At 38.3% G+C, this 17,130-nt stretch overlaps 1 protein-coding gene across 16 annotated transcripts in view, besides 1 other annotated feature; it reads right to left on the reverse strand.

The window, feature by feature from the left end:
- The window catches only part of TTC13 (tetratricopeptide repeat domain 13), a 72,619-nt gene that overhangs the window by 24,110 nt on the left and 31,379 nt on the right, over window positions 1-17,130 (reverse strand). For 4 of the 16 annotated variants that reach the window (NM_001376510.1, NM_024525.5, XM_047430313.1 and 1 more), the window contains 7 exons: window positions 15,037-15,102; window positions 13,454-13,546; window positions 10,088-10,204; window positions 9,034-9,144; window positions 3,427-3,509; window positions 1,384-1,525; window positions 946-1,120 (listed from right to left, as the gene is read on the reverse strand). In NM_001376510.1, the coding sequence (NP_001363439.1) occupies window positions 946-1,120; window positions 1,384-1,525; window positions 3,427-3,509; window positions 9,034-9,144; window positions 10,088-10,204; window positions 13,454-13,546; window positions 15,037-15,102 (787 nt within the window). Of the gene's footprint in view, window positions 1-945; window positions 1,121-1,383; window positions 1,526-3,426; window positions 3,510-4,500; window positions 4,692-9,033; window positions 9,145-10,087; window positions 10,205-13,453; window positions 13,547-15,036; window positions 15,103-17,130 lie in introns of those variants that run through there. The other 12 variants (NM_001376514.1, NM_001376509.1, XM_006711814.3 and 9 more) reach the window with 6 other exon arrangements.
- Window positions 6,657-6,857: a silencer, noted in NCBI's record as "peak762 fragment used in MPRA reporter construct". NCBI's record gives its function as "represses an SCP1 promoter by STARR-seq MPRAs in K562 erythroleukemia cells {active_cell/tissue: K562}" and the evidence as "EXISTENCE:reporter gene assay evidence [ECO:0000049][PMID:32103011]".

Raw genomic sequence — 17,130 nt, forward strand, 5'->3', positions numbered from 1 at the left:
TGTGGCTACCACAAATTTAAAATTACACACACAGCTTTCCCCTTTTTTTTATTTTGGACAGTCATGGTATAAAGGGCTCACAATAACAAAAAAGAATGTAGGCTTTAATTAAAAAAACTGTCTTCAGAGACAGGAGATAAAAGGTGAGTAAAACTACAACTAATAAAAGGGTAACTGCAAGATTTGCTTTCTTCCTCACCTCATATTTCTCCAAAATATATGAGAATTTTGATATGAAGGAATGACAAGTCAAAGATACCAAGTTCACATTTAACAGTAAGAACCAGCTGGGCGTGGTGGCTCACGCCTGTAATCCCAGCACTTTGGGAGGCCGAGGCAGGTGGATCACGAGGTCAAGAGATCGAGACCATCCTGGCCAACATGGTGAAACCCTGTCTCTACTAAGAATACAAAAATCAGCTGGGCATGATGGCGCGCCCTTGTAGTCCCAGCTACTCGGGAGGCTGAGGCAGGAGAATGGGATGAACCCAGGAGGCGGAGGTTGCAGTGAGCTGAGATTGCACCACTGTACTCCAGCCTGGTGACAGAGCAAGACTCCATCTCAAAACAAAACAAAAAAACAGTAAGAACCTCACAGAATGTCAGTTTCCTGCCCTTCCTGTATTCTTGGATGAGATGTGATGAGACACAAATATTCCAGATGCTTGTCACATTTAGTTCAAAATATGGCTTTTCAACTTAAGTAAAAAATGTTTTAACTTTAGAAAGTAAAAATGTTAAAAGTGGTAGAAAATGCATTTGACTGATCTTTTGAAGATAGAAACATCTAGTCTCGACACTAGCACTGACAAGGTGTGGCTGTGGATGAGTCACCTGGCCTCTTTCAGACTCCACTGTTTCATACGAAACATAAAAGAGTCAAGCAATATGATTTCTACAGCTTTGAGCATGAAAATCCAACAATTCTGTGATTTTCTGACTTACCTCGGAGATACTTTACTTTAAGATACTCAGGGCTAGCCTTCTGGCCTGGGAGAGGATCATTCAGCATAACTTTTGTTTGTGCTTTTATCCCTTCATAAAACTGTCCCATGGCAACATGGCTGAGCCCTTTCATATACTGGCACACTTCATTATATGGCTCTAGCTGCAGACACCGCTGAGGACAAAATGCTGCATTAGTATCAACACAGTTTAGGAAAACTTTGAAATGCTTTATTCTTTACTCTGGAATTAGTTTTCCCTCCAGGTTAAACCAGACCTGTAAACTAGTCTACAGGACAAGAGCAATGATTTCTTCTCTTTCTTTTTGTTGGAGTAGAAACACTATTCTCAGTCCCCCTTCTCTATTCATTTCACTAAACTTCAATGAAGAATAATCCAGTAATTCCAATTACAGTGTTCTTATTTATGGATGCTCACCTTAAAGTTCTTAAGGGCTTCCTGTAAGCTGCCGTGGTGGTAGAGCATCATTCCCCGGAGCTGGAGGGTTTGCACATGATTTTGGTTGAGCAACAGTGCCTTTTGAAAGCTCTCAGTGGCTGCTTCAAAATTGCCCAGTTCTCTAGGTATTTAATAATAGTTATGAATACAGTATAGATATTACGGGAAACATACAGAATAAGCTATCCTCAGAATTATGGACCAATATGTAAACAAGATACCTTGATGGGAGTGTTCCCTTTGTTGCTTTTTTATAGCCTCTGACACATTACATTTCACTTACTTCTAAATCTCACCAGCTCATAGGATAACCACAGAGCTCTTGAAATTCTGTGGGGAAAATTCATCTGCTGATTTCCAAAGGCAGACGCTTATTCAAACCCCTCTCCTTGATTATTCACAATGAGTCCCAAACCCTAAAAACTGTGTAAATGTTAATATATGGATAGAAACACACTTTTCCCATTTGGAAAAAAATATACCAATTATAATCATAAACAGTTCATCATTCTCAATCAAATTCATAGCCTTAAAAATGCATTTTTTTTTTTTTTGGTCACCAAAGTTGCTTTGCTTAAAATCTAGTAAATCATTATATAATTTAGAATTCTGAAAAAAGAAGTGTATTTTAGAATTGTAACCATTCCAGGATGGAAATGGTTGTTATGGATCAATCTGCTTTTTATTTGCTTTTCAAATAGGTTTAGAAACCGGGTCTCACTGCATTGCTCAGGCTGAAATCAGCCTCCTGGGCTCAGGCGATGCTCCCACTTGACCTCCTGAAAAGCGGGACCCAATTCTCTATAAATAGTGAACATTTTTTAAAAATATAATTCCTGCTTACATTCATACAGCACTTTACAAGGTGCTTTCAAATCTGTTTTCAATTTATATTCAATAATTCTGTGAGACAGGAAGCACAAATATCATCCCTTAAACCCCAAACAAATCCAAACACACTTCTTCCAAGTTAGTATAAGAGCTCCTCAAACTATCAGATAAATAAGCTCTTGAATGTAATCCTTCCTGAATAAGGTACCTAATAAAGGGACTTTCCGTCGCTGTCTTTCTTTTCTAGCTTTTGTAGCACCTTTACAAGTGAGAAGCCAGAAGCTCAGGGAAGTTAAGCACTCATACCTGCAGAACGACCAAGGCAGAACTAAGTCATGAGCTCCTTCACTCATGCCATCCTACCTCCTTTTCATAACACAATATACTTTTTTTTTCCTGTTTTGAGATAGAGTCTCGCTCTGTCGCCCAAGCTGGAGTGCAGTGGTGCAATCTTGGCTCACCGCAACCTCTGACTCCCGGGTTCAAGCGATTCTCCAGCCTCAGCCTCCCAAGTAGTTGGGATTACAGGAACCCACCACCATGCCTAGCTAACTTTTGTATTTTTAGTAGACACAGGGTTTCACCATGTTGGCCAGGCTGGTCTCTAACCCCTGACCTCAAGTGATCTGCCTGCCTTAGCCTCCCAAAGTGCTGGGATTACAGGGATGAGCCACCGCTCCCGGCTTACTTTTTTTTTTTTTAAGCCAAAAGTCACAATGGCTCTAATCATCAGGGCAATGCATGGCGTCAGGAAGCCAAGTTCTAGTTACAACTTCTCATTCTCAGCAGATGTACATTATAATCACAACTTTTCCATCCCTTCATTCTAGGACTCTTCAAAGAGATCATAGGAAATTTACCTTAGTTACTGTCTAAGAAAGTAGCAGCAGCGTCTACACCCCAATAGCTTACAATGCCACTATTCAAAACAACCCTTGAAGGATGAACGTTTTCTAGACCAATACACACGCTGAAGTTAAGAGAGAATACTGTGCATCATGACATCCTCTGGTACAATTTATTTTTCTGCATTTCAGAGAAAATATCAACAAGTCTATACATACTTGCACAATTCAAAATACCCATCTCCTTTGGTTAAGAAATACTATTTCTTTTAAATATTATGTGAAGCTATCTTGTCTCCCCACTCTTCAGCCTCCCTCCTACCCCAACTGTTATTATTTTACTCACCTATATGCCTGCCCTAGACTTTTATATGCATCAATAAAGTCAACTTTCTGCTTCAAAGCTTCTTTGAAGGATTCAATAGCTTCCTATAAAAAGTGTAGAGAAAATTATTTCATTTGCATAATTGTTAAAATTGAGATTCACTTAAATCATAAAAGGATTTAAATATATATCCTAGTCTCTGACAGATTTTCTTTTAGGAGGACTTTTAAAAAAGAGAGGCAGAAAATGCAATAAACTATAAGTCAGAAGGATTTAATTTCAGTAAACAAATGCATTACTATGAAAAATATGAGCCTTAAATTTCTCCCCTTTACAATGGGACATCAGCTTTCCATTTTATCTACTTCATTACTAGCTACTTCATTAAAACTTTGAATACTAATCATTTCACCTTCATATTATTAATATCATATCCTTAATTAAGAAAGGCCCTAGGACCAAAAGCAAGCCTAACAGCTGTGTGAAATAATTTAAAATGATCATAACTGGCAACATTTAAAATTGAACCAAGAGACAAAAAAGAAAGCCCAATGTGAAACTGTTCCTAAAACAAGCAAAAAGGCTCCTAGATTCACCATCTGAAGGATTCCCATGATCTACGAGGAAAAAGAAAAAGTAAAACAAAACAAAACAAAAACCTTAAGTTGGAGGTGTTTGGGGTTAGCTTCCATCGGCCTAACACCAAGTCTGTGGCTAAGAAAGTGAGAACTGCTAAGCAGGCACTATCCTTTGGGAAGCTATCCTTGGAAATGCATGGTGTACTTGGCTACTGCCTAACTCCCTCTCCATCTATGAAAACTATTAATCAAGTGTACCATTCTATTTAAGTAGAAACAACCTAGGCTTAAACCAACATTAAATGTACTTTTCACTGTGACTTATACACTGCAATAAAAAAAATTACGACTATATAGCTTACTAACACTTTTCCTAAGGAAAAGACATATCTTACTAAAGTTACCTGCTATAAAGCATCATGATCTCTAATCGCTTTAATGCAAAAGACATGACTTTAGATAATTTTACACCTGATTAGATAATTCATAGAAGAAAACTACTGAAGATGTCACATACCTTGTACATGGTAGGCACTCAATAAATATTTAATGATTTGGTAAGGCACACAAAATTGTTTTGCAAAAGCAGTAAAATTCTAATTCTTTTCAAAAAGGCATTCATTCCCTGCACCTTGATTTTCTCTGGAAGGGAGACAGCAGGACAAGACAGGCTGGTGTGCAAACTCTTCAAAGGCAACGATGGGATGACAATCTACTAATTAAGGACTCCTGCTGAATATCTACGGTTGGGTAGAGAGATGAGAATGGATAAACTTTAACATTTAAGAAATGTTAAAGATCACTTTTAGTTAGGCTTCTTGCCATGGTGTAACCTTGATCTTTTAAGACTTTACCACTATATTCTTAATTCAGTAAACATATATTGAGCGCCTACTATGTGCCAGAGACAGTGTGAGGTGCAGGGAAGGCAAGGATGAGCCAGTCATTATCTCTGTCCTCTAAGAATGGAGTCTAGTTAGAAAGCCAGTTGTGTCACCAGGTTATCGGAATACAAATTAAGAGCTGGAATAGAGATATAAGTAAGTCTCTGAGAATGAAGAGAAAGAAATCACTAACTGAGCCTGGGGTAAGAGAACAGGCTTCAGGGAGGAAGTGACAATTGAGTTGGGCCTTGGAGAATGAAAAGAAATTTGGTAAAGAAAGAGGGCATTTTGGAGAGGGGAAATAGTACTGTACAGTGGCACAGATCACTCAGAAATGGTACAGGAGTGCAGGGTGCATGGGTGGGTGCAGTGGAGAGGGAAAAGATGGGAGACCAGGCTAACGTGGGAAGCTGGGCCAGGAAAGGAAGGGCCTCCTGGGCCAAGCAGTGTAGGCAGTGAGGACTGGGGGGCTTCACACAGGTGCATGACCTCAGGAAATGTACTTTTTAGAGATGATTACTACTAGCAGCAACAAAGACAGACTAGAGACAGAAGGGAATGGAGACAGGGAGCCAATTAGGGAGTTGCTGCAGTAGTTGGAGCAAGAGATAATGAAAGCTCAAACTAATAAAGTGTCTCTGAGGAGAGAAAAGAAGGGTCAACCTCAGGAGACATTTTGAAAGGCAAACTACAACAGAGTTTGGTGGCTGCCTGGGTATGGGAGATGAGGGAGAAGAAAGGGTAGGAAGCTTTTAAGCTGAAGAGCTTGGGTGGGTGGCAAGAACATTAACCAAGTAAGGAAGTACAGGAGAAAGGGCAGCTGCAGGTGGGGATGGGGTGGGGCAGGAGGGAATAACGAGCCCATCGGGGCGTGTTAAGTCTGGAGTGCTTGTGGACAGCTAGGTGGAGACGCCCAGGGGGCTGCCCACTCCACTTACAGCATGCTTGGACGCCACAGTTCTTCAAAGTCTGATTTCTCTTCAGCTTTTAAGAGTCTTTGGTTTCGGGGTTCCTGTCTAATCACTGCACAGCTCTCTACCTCATTCTGCCAAAGAGGGGACATAGTAGAATCAAGATTTTAAGGCGTTGGGAACAAAGAAACTACGTTTGAATGAATCAATCTCTAAGCATATGAACTGGCTCTGAATTAATTTGCTTGGCAAATGCCATCCCACCATTTTCAGTCCCCATCTTTCTTACTAGTTGACAGGCAACCACCACCCTAGGGCTGTTCCTTGTAACTAAGAGAACACTCTCAGAAAACTCTCAAAGTGAAGACTGATGGTGCTTGGGACGCATGGTTTGTGAAATATCCTTACAACATAGATAAAACAATGGAATTCAATAGAAAAGTTTTTGTTGTTTCCCTGGGAAGATCCAAAATGCCTGATATAACCCCTGGATTAGATAGTTGTAAAATTTGTAATGTAATATTGCCTAATATACTTCTAACGTATTACATCATATAGTAAATAAGCAATCACCCACTCAATTAATTTCTAAATTGCTGTTGGCCAAGAGAGACCACCTTTAGGATATAAAGATAGCTCAAACTCACTGGTCCATTTAATACTTGTCTCTGCGGTTAACAAGAGAAACAGAAAAACCTAGACAAAGTTCATTTATTAATTCAGCCGTTTCACTACCGACTCAGTTTTCCAATCTGTGTAACAGGGACACCCTCCACTCCTTCTATACCTCATGGAGATGCCGTTGGGATGAAGGAGTCAGTAAGTAACTACTCTAACCTCCTCAGACAGTGGATCTATAAAAATGCAAAGCAAGAGTTCCCATCTATTATACTTGCTGATGCTGTGCTTATGAGCATGGTGAAAAGGACAGAGTACCAAATAACTTGGTAGGACTAGTTTGCTGAGGGGCTTTTAATGCTCAAAATGAAAGCACTGTTTCTAGGTTCTTATCATGCAGATCTAAAGCAAATCAAACTGAATTTCAGTTCTTGTGCAATTTGTAGTTAGTTTCTCTTTTCTGAAAAATTCTCATTTTCAAATACCCCAAAGAGCCCCATCCATGTTCCTAAACCTGGCTTTACAGTAACAATGTTAAAAGTGAAACCGTTTGCATTTGTTTACTTTTAAAAATATTTTCAACCTCTTAATACAAATAGGTTGGTATTTTTTGTATTTGTAATCTTTTTCTCCTCCATGAGATATCCAAGGGATATAATTTGAGTAGAGTACCGAAGTTCTGAGTTTTTAAAATTTAAGGTGACTGTCAGAGAAGATGAGAGGAACAGAGGGCAGATACAAAATAAACTGGACAAGTCTATCTGGCAGCTGCTCAAAGCATGTTTTAAGAAATTGTTCTCAAAGCCTGCGGCTGCCAGTCTGAATCCTGAGGGGAGAGAGAGGTCTTTATTAGGAGTATCCTCCACATACTTCCAAAAGGAATGTGAGGTTTATGAAATAGAATCTGCAAAATTCCTTTTGGTTTGGTTTTTAGTGGGATGGGAGTTTTCTTTTAGAATCTGTAAAACTTTAAATTTTCACAGATAAAATAATCTATAATAATTAATATTTGATTCCTGTTTAAAGCTTACAAAGTACTTTTCACATAGAGTATTTTATTGAATCCTCACGATCACTCCAAGAGGCAGAAAGTAGAATTGTTTCCACTTTATAGACATGGAAGGAGAAACTGATTGCCCATGGAGCTTGGAGCGAGAGCTCAAACCAAGACCATTCAACATCAACTTCAATGCTCTGTCCTTGAAATTCATTATTGCACTAATACGTATTGAGCACCTACTTTGTGACAGGCACTGCCCTTAACACTGAGGATTTGCAATGTGCAGCCTTTTCACAGGTAAACACTCTCCCCACAACCCAAATATATGTATGTCAGATCCTCAAACCTCTTTCAATAATAAAATGTCTGTTCTTTCTGCAGAATACATATCCCTGCCACACATTACTAAATTTCTTCACAGCCTTCAAAGTTCTTGTTAAGTACCACCTTCTGGGGCTCCTGTCAGAATGAATTGCTTTTTGGCTGTGCAGGCTGCCTCTGTTTCGTTCTCAGGCCCGTCTGTCTTCCATCAGGTAGCTTGGATATGTCCTGTGTGAGAGCACCTACTGTGTGCCAGGCCTTGAGCGGCACTAAGGAGGCCCAGGTGAGAGAGGCAGCTCCCCGTCAGGTTCCAGGCCCCCGGCTCCTGTCACAAGCCTTCTCACAGTGGGTTCCCCGCACAGACTCGGAACATGGAATCGAGTGCCCAGGCAGGAGGAAGGGCCAGGCTGGAGGCCACGTTTCTGCCCATACTTTCAGTCAGTTCAGATAGCTTTCCTGTTTCCCTCTACCTCCTCTGCCCAGCAGTCAGGCAGTTCTCAAGCAATACTAATACAGTCAATCAAAGAAGGGTCTCCCAACCTGTTCCTGTGGTCTCTCAAGGAGCTGGGTCAAGTTTCATGCCCACTGACCTAGACCCAACCAATGTCACCTAGTCAGTCCTTCTGTCCCTCATCTCCTCAGCCACCACACTGTCAGAATCTACTTCCTAAATTACAGATTTGGTCTCAGTGCTGGAATCTATGCATTTTGGCAACCTAGAATTTATAGATCCTCTGGTCTGCAAATTTAAGTCAAAATGCTTAGCACAGTACTCCAGGATAAGGACCTGCCCTCCACCGACCTTCCAGCTTCATCTCCCTTAAACCATACCCAACTACTTCCCACTCTGTGAACTGCCCATATTTCCATCTCCCCAAGTCATCACCCACGCTCTCCTCTCTGCCTGAAGGGCTTTTCTTCTCCCACCTCCACCCCCTAATCCTACTCAGTCTTCCAGCTCCAGGACAAAGTCCACCTGTTCTTTGGAACTTTCTCTAACTCTGCAGTTCCAATGAATCTTTCTTATCTACATTTTCAAAGCACTTTGTTTATATTACATTCTTGAGTATGTTTACCATATGATAAATTATATGTGGAAAAAGCTTTGCAAACTGTATCCTCTATAAAGGTAAAGTATCATTTCTTCCACTTATTAACCTTTGATCCTTTCCCTTTCTGTATCTCCCTCCAAGAACCCATCAAAGAGTAGGAGCTCAATAAATAATAAATACCAGCCATCAATCAAACGAAATTCCTCCCACCCACAAAAGAGAAGCAGAGTCATCATATGGTACACATATGCACAACACTTTCACCTTCAGAAGTCCTCTGTGAAAGAAAGTTAAACCTTTGTATAGCATAGCTATAGGCTGGTTTTTGTTCAGTTCTAAGGACTGCTGAAAGTCTTCATGGGCTGTTGCATAGTCCTACAAAAAGGAGAGTGGGGGGAAAAATAAAATAGTATTCATTAGATATGTGAACATTTCCTAATTTTTGGCTGGTAGAGAAAAAAAATCTCAATTCATCCTCTGCCCTTTTTGGCTTTAAAGGAAACATTTCATGACACTATATATTGGTTAAGTGCTTATACTACTCATTCAAACAGTTGGGAGTTTTTTAAGAAAAGCGATTGTGAGAAAAACAAAGGTTTAATTTAAGCACTCTGTCTCAACTACAAAAAAATTTATCTCAAATAGTATTATGGTAATAATCTGTTAGAGAAATTTCTGGTACTAGCATTTTATCATACTGGATATTCCCAGAATAATTATGCCACAGATTAACATTAAAATGTGTTATGCTGAGACTCTTTTAATATATTTTCTTTGGCACAGAAAATTGTTATTTAAAGTACTATAAGCCACAGAAATAATTGTGGCAATCATAAATGCCACTCTGATGATAAAAGACAACCTTGTCAGGCTTGGGTCACTTACATAGAGAAGCTACAGTCTGGAAAGCCATGCTAGTTCAGGGTGTGTTTCTTGGGCTGTGAAACCCAAAGAAATTCAAATTGTACCGCTAAGTTTAATAATCACATTGACAACATGCACACCTGCTTCCCTATGAGGACATTTGCGAGAAAGATTGACATACAATCCACAAACTAAATTTATCTTTCTCTCTCTTTTTTTAAATGCCAGTCCAGAATTAGTTATTGCTGACAGCTCAAACAAGAAAATGTTTTTAGTACTTAATGTTCTCCACTGGGTTTAATTTCAGCTACAGAAAATGCTTTTATAACTCTTATGACACAGACATATTACTAAACAGTCAAAGCCCAAATCTATCAAAGAGTCACTTTCTGAGGTCAAGGGAAAAATGAAATCTTCATCATCATAAAAATACTTCAAGACAAAAACCAGTCACCTCTGATATGAAGTACAGGGTTCCCCGATGTCTGTACAGCCGTGCTGAGGGCTGCAGTTGGATAGCTTTAGTGAGGTCATTCACTGCTTCATTAATTCGTCCCAGAGGGGACAGAATCTAGAAATCCCAAACATGTAATCAGGAAGAATACCAATGACCAACCCTAAAATCCCAATGTTTTTGACTCTTCAATTCCACCTCACCATACTCCACTCAAAAATTACTCTCAGCAGGCTGCAATCCTTGACCCCCTATATTATGCGGTGGGGTTCAAAGTCAACCAGCTGAGGTGCCACTAATCTTTGTCCAGTCAAGCAGGAGGCTGATGAACTATGACTGCAGCAACTGCCTTGTCACTATTTCACATTCTGGGTTGTATCAGATGTTGCTTTTCCTGCAATGTGATTTTTTTTCTTGATTTTATCTTTTAAATCAAAATTTGGCATCTATACACAAAGATGTCAAAATTAACCTGAAAGATAACTTTGAACCATTAAAATAGACAAATTATCGGACACAGATTAGAGTCTTCCATGGTCTTTAGCTCTGTCCTCTATGGTAAGAAGAGCTGAATGACAACTTCTAAGATTCCAGATGCTCTTTAAGCCCTTTTGTGTAACAACTTTTAACTCATGAGTCATGATCTGCAGAGTAGGAGGAAAAATATCTGCAAGCCTGTTTGGAAAAGCTCTTTTGAGCCAGCAATCAGTTGTATTCAGGCAACATGAAAATATAGAAGACAGTTCAGAATGCAAAAGTAAACCAAAAAGACATAAGAAAATCCAAAATGGGTATCAGTGTTCATGCAATTAAGCCCAAGCACTTTATCCTGAATGAACGTCCTTAAATTAGGGTTTATTTTGTTGTTGTTTTAGAGACAGGGTCTCACTCTGTCACCCAAGCTGGAATGTAGTGGCACAATCATAGCTCACTGTAACCTCGGACTCCTGGGCTCATGCAATCCTCCTACCTCAGCCTCTTGAGTAGTTTAGGCTACAGGGTTGTGCCATCATGCCCTGCTAATTTATTTTTTAAAATTTTTTGCAGAGGTAGGGGTCTCACTACATTGACCAGGCTGGTCTTGAACTCTTGGCCTTGAGCAATCCTCCTGTGTTGGCCTCCCAAAATTTTGGGATTACAGGCATAAGCCACCATGTCCAGCCTATTCCATCCTTATTAGACAGGTTATTTCTACCGAATTTTATAATTTCCTACTCTACAGAAGTTTAAAACCAGCAAGAAAGAGGATTCAGGCAGGCCTATCACCAGTAGTAAGCATGATAGCTCAGAAAGAGGAAAGAAATTGAATATATGTCTGAGAATTCAAAAAGCACAGTGGGCTGGGGTTGTATTTGGGAAGGAAAATCATCCCTCCCTAGTTTATCAACCCCTAGGTACATAACTGAATTATCATACCCCAGCACAACAATCAATATGATAATAATGAGTAACTTTAAAAAGTTAATTTATGTTCATCAAATATAGAATATTTCAGAAAGCATGAAAGTGAAAGATTACTCATAAAATGACCTCTGACATATATAAATGGTATGTTATAATTTAGCCGGAAAATTCAGTATGTAGTAACATTATTGCCCAAACAATGCCAGAAAAACAGAATATTATTATACATTTTTAAGACAATTAAAAATTATTTTTCTAATTACCAATGCCATTTTTGATAAACAGTAGTTTTTTATTAGATATGCAAATTGTAAAGACCTGTTAAATAATTCTTACCTAAATATACTTAACTCATGATTTACCAGATTTTAACATAAACCAGAGTAATATAGGGGAAAAAACATCAGTCCCCCCTACCAGAAGCAGATGATTACCAAATCTGTCACCAAATTAGCCACTAAACACCAACTAAATACCAGCAAGTCTCATGCAGTGATAAACTATAGTCACTTAACCCTTAGGGTTACAATTCAAAATAGAGAAGAGGTAAGAAATTAAATCATTCATTGAGAAAGATTTTATTCAAAAAGCCAAATCCCCAACAAAACAAAAATTCACTTTAAGAGACTGAACTGTAAGACACAATAATCTTAAGAACAAAAATACCATAAATACAGTTTTTAAATTCCTATACCTTTAGCACTTCCTTTACTAGCTTTCTCTTCCAAAAGAGAAAATAAAAAGTAATTTTTTCTTTAGTTCAACTATGAGATCATATCAGATGATTAAAAGTTGTTTTATTCAGACTAAATACATTAACACATATGAAGCCTAGATAGCTTATTATTTTAAGAAAGTAAAACAAACACATTTCACTTAAAAACATAAAACAGAATGCCTTTGTACAGACTCTCTTCCCTGCGCTGAACACTCTCCTCCATCTTGTCCCCACCACACCATGGGACTGGATCAGCTCTAGCCTCGCTTCCTCCGACAGCCTCAGCAAACACTCCCAACATTCCCCTTCTTCTCTTCCCAAAGAAGCGCCTCCTCTGTCTACTTGAGCCAGTATTACATGGCATCTTCACCACATATTATCTGTCTCTATGTCAAGTTCCTTTAAGATGTGGCTGTCATCATCCTCACTTGATCTATGTATCCATGCACCTAGGTCTATATCATAAGAATTACATTTAAGTGCTTACACACATACACATCAGCAGAATGAACGCTTCCAAGGGCTGTGAATTCCAGTTTGACCTAACAGTCATATCAAGTCTTGCTAAAGTATGTCACATATACAGTAAATATTATGTGTTATATTTTTCAATGAATATTATGTGTTATATTTTTCAATGAATATTATGTGTTTTTCTTTTGTGTTATATTTTTTGTGTTTTTTTTTAAATTTTATTATTATTATACTTTAAGTTTTAGGGTACATGTGCACAATGTGCAGGTTTGTTACATAAAGACTTGGAACCAACCCAAATGTCCAACAACAATAGACTGGATTAAGAAAATGTGGCACATATTACCATGGAATACTATGCAGCCATAAAAAATGATGAGTTCATGTCCTTTGTAGGGACATGGATGAAACTGTGTTTCTTTTGTGTGTTGTATTTTTCTGTGTTATATTTTTCAAAATATAACACAAATATTATGTGTTATATTTTTCAATGAATATCTATAGAAGTAGTACACGTCATATTTTCATACTAAATATTTTCAACCACATATTTTCATACTAAATATTACTCTTCTATGTTAGTTCAGGAATATCACTCAATCCATAGTTTTCTATTAATTTCAACCATGCTTAAAGGCATTAAGTACCGACATAGAAAAACATAAGAGTTTTAAGGGAGCATTAAAATTTACAAATAATAAAGTAATAGGAAAAAAATTGAGATTCAACTAATCCAATAATGACAGAGGGAAAAAGAAAGCCACACTCACTTCTGCTCGCTGCTCAAATACCTCTGGACGATCTGGTTCCAAGGTAATTACTCGGCTCAGTTCGAACAGAGCAAGCTCAGCATTCTTAATGTCCTTGAAAAGGCATTAGCTTAGTATGAGACATACTGTTACTCAAAACCAGGCTGAAAAAATTTTCTGAGAAAACTAATAATTTAGTAATGATGTAACCAATTGTTTAAAAATAAATATGAACTTCACTTCTATGTAAGAGATGTGCCATGTCAAATCAGTCATGATATTATAATTATTTAACTCACTCAAGTCTACCTACTTACTCAACAATAACATGTTAGACCCGGCTACCTATCACAAATTCCACAGATGGCAGGATATTATCTAAACTTAATCTACTTAAACATGGAATCAACGAATCTCAATGGATGAGTATGTGGATACCAGCACATGAAATGAGGCTGACCTGTGGCAACAGGGGAACAGAAATGGGTCAAGACAGTGTCTATCAAAAACATAAGCCTATAAATCTATACCTTAAGAAGTTTAGGTACATTCTCTTTAACATTTGCACATTATTTTTACATTAAAAATGCATGTGCAACTTTTTATTAAATATACATGCAAATTTAATCTCAAGATATATAATTTTAAAAGATGAGAATTAGGAAGAGGCAGCTCTGAACTTTACTACTGCAACTTCAACCTGGTCATTCATTGATGCTCTGAGTAAAATATCATTTCCTTCCTAAGCACTTCCATCATTCCCAATTCTAAATTCATTCTCAGTCCTCTATGTCTCAAAGTATACAAATACACAAAGTTTCTCCAATAGGCCAGCACAAGGTTAGTATAATATTAATTGTAATATTTTATAAATTGTAATAAAATAAAAATGTTAAACATTTTTAATATTTTAATGTAAAAGTTGCAAAAGTGGCATTTCTCTCAAAGCACAATTTCACACAAATATTTTTAGTATACAATAAGACAATAGAAAAAGTTTGCATATAATGTCCTAGACTAAAAATTTGGAAAGCTGAACTTACACCATTTCGTGATTTACTATATAATTTCAGGAGTCTTCATTTTTATACCATAGTACCTTTGTTTGTGTAAAATATGATTATTATAGTCCTTCTCCAGCCTTCCTCAGAGAAATAAGGGGAATAATTTGATTACAGCTACAAAGATATTACGCCATATGCAAAAAGTATAAAATATAACAAATAAAGATAAATTTTACATGCCTAAAAAAACCTTTTGTTCTTTCACCAACCTTTAATAATTGTGAAAGGAACTCAAACTCTAAGTCCTACTGCACTATTGATGCCCAGTCTCCACTTGGACCATTGAATATCTCTTAGGAAAGCAAGCAGGGTCTCATGCTTTTCTTAGTCTATCCAGTTCATCAAAGTTGACTTCAGAAGATCTGGGTGGAAATCCCCAGTCCACCACTTACTAGCTGCCATTTTCTCATCTGTGAACTGGAATGATAGATACCACTCCACATCCCATCAAGGGTCAATGAACAGTAGCAGTTCTAGCAAAACCCTGGTCTGTGTCAGGTCATGTAGGCGCTATGGCAATCGTAACTATTACATACTCACATGTAGTCCCTTCTTTCCATAGGCTATCCCTCGGCCATAAATTGCACTAACCAGATCAGGCTCCTCCTAGTCAGACCAAAACAAAAACACGTCAAAAACCATAAACAAAACAAAACAAAAAATCAGTTTCTGCTTAAAGCACGTTAATGCCGCAAGTGACAGCTCTACTTCTTTATGCTACGACCACTCGTAAGTCAATACGCAGTCTCCAACCTGAAAAGTCTATGTTCTTAAAGCTCATTTGTATGAAATGTGATAAAAGTTTCATGTTGAAAAAAATAATAGAGAGAGAAGGGAACCAACATTACGCAGAAACATGCTGGTTTCTTTCACAGGGTCATCTTATTTAAAATGCAATCCTCTCAACAACTCTGGCAGCATCAGCAATCATGTCTTACAGAGAAGAAGGAGGCTCAGAGGGGTAAAGAGATGTGAGCAAAGGATTAGGTAATGCCTGTAACTAATGTGTTTTCTTTCATATATCCATGAAATTACCTGAAAAGGAAAGAACCACTCAGTGCCAACACAATGACGAACTAGAAATGAGGCTGCACTGAAATCTGTTGGAGATTAATTCAACCCTTCATACTAATGGGTTGAAATAAAAAACCAGACTCTTTTTGCAGCCTGCTCCCATGCTTTCTCCTGTTATTCTGCAATCCAGATGGGGTGGAGGAAACATCTATCAGGACCAAGGACAAAACATCTGTTGACCCCGGCCATTGAGTCCTTACACACAGGTTAGTTGGTGAGTGAATGAAATGCCTCTCATCTACATTTAGCCTCTACAATTTTTACTTCTCTGAATGGTTCGCTATACAGTTAAGAAAGAAGAATAAACAGCTGCCTCTGGCTATAAGGTCCTGGGTGGAAGTCTTGCACTGCTAAGGGATTTAATAGAATGGCACTGGATTCTCCAGAAAGAAACTCTGCAAAAACTTGATAGATTAATCTACTGTTCAGTTTCAAATCTGAGCTAGGGTATCTGCCAGTATTATAGAAAATGAACACATTCACTTCAATGATGAGTAAATGGGAAAAAATAAAGGAGAAGATAACACGCATTTAAATTTTCCTAAAGGCTACTCAAATAGAATGAGATGCATCTATATCCAGTGGTAAACTGGCATATCGCTGGCCACAACCCAGACAGCAGATTGGACTACACGGTGTATGAAAAATTGCAAAAATTCAACTAAACAATTTTAGGTTTCTAGCTTCTCTTAGAACATCAAAAGATCCAACAAACATGGGCCCACATTTTGGCATTCTCACACAGCAATAAATAAGAGACTAGAGCTAAGCACTGGCTGTCTCTATAGATGAGAGGTACAAGTCCATCAGTTCACCACAGGGCCTACCCATCACAGCCACACTGCACCAACTTTCTTTACTCATGTTACCTCCCTGGCCCCTACAAAGTTCTGGATTTATGAATTATATGTAACTGGTATAGAGGTTGCTCATGCTATTTTCTAAGAGGGGCGGGGAACAGTACATGTTATAGACCTACAGAAAGATGGTAGTCATATTTCATAAATCATACTTATACGTGATTGTGTGAGCCATTAGGTGCACAGAAATAAACTCCAAAATGCTACCAGGAATTTCCTCTGGGGAGTGAGATTACTAGATATATTCCCACTGTACTTAATATATTGTTATATTCCTGTTAATTTTTTAAAACAGACATGCTCATTTATAATCAGAAAAAAGTATGTTTTAAGTAATACATGTTTCCCTGTAAAAATTTTAGAAAATGAAGAAAAGCACCAAGCAGAAAGTAAAGGAGCCCTATAAGCCTGCCCCCCCAGAGATAAGCACTTTAAACATTTAAGTATTCTTCCTGGCTTAAAGGAAGGCAGAGTAAGTGGTTTGGATGGAGAAAGGATACAGGTGTCAGGGGGAAAAGGGGAGCAGGAAAAAAGGGAACCTAATGAGGAATTAAAAGTAAGACTGGCGTCATGCTTTTCTGTAGCAAAAAAGCCAGAAGACAGAACAGTCAACAGTCGAACCGAACCCTGGCCAGGCTGGGGTGGGAGGCGGTAAGCCCAGTGAGCTCATCCTCTAGAGCAGGGGTGTCCAATCTTTTGG

Source organism: Homo sapiens, chromosome 1 (genome assembly GCF_000001405.40).
Source record: "Homo sapiens chromosome 1, GRCh38.p14 Primary Assembly".
Taxonomy (NCBI): Eukaryota; Metazoa; Chordata; class Mammalia; order Primates; family Hominidae; genus Homo; species Homo sapiens.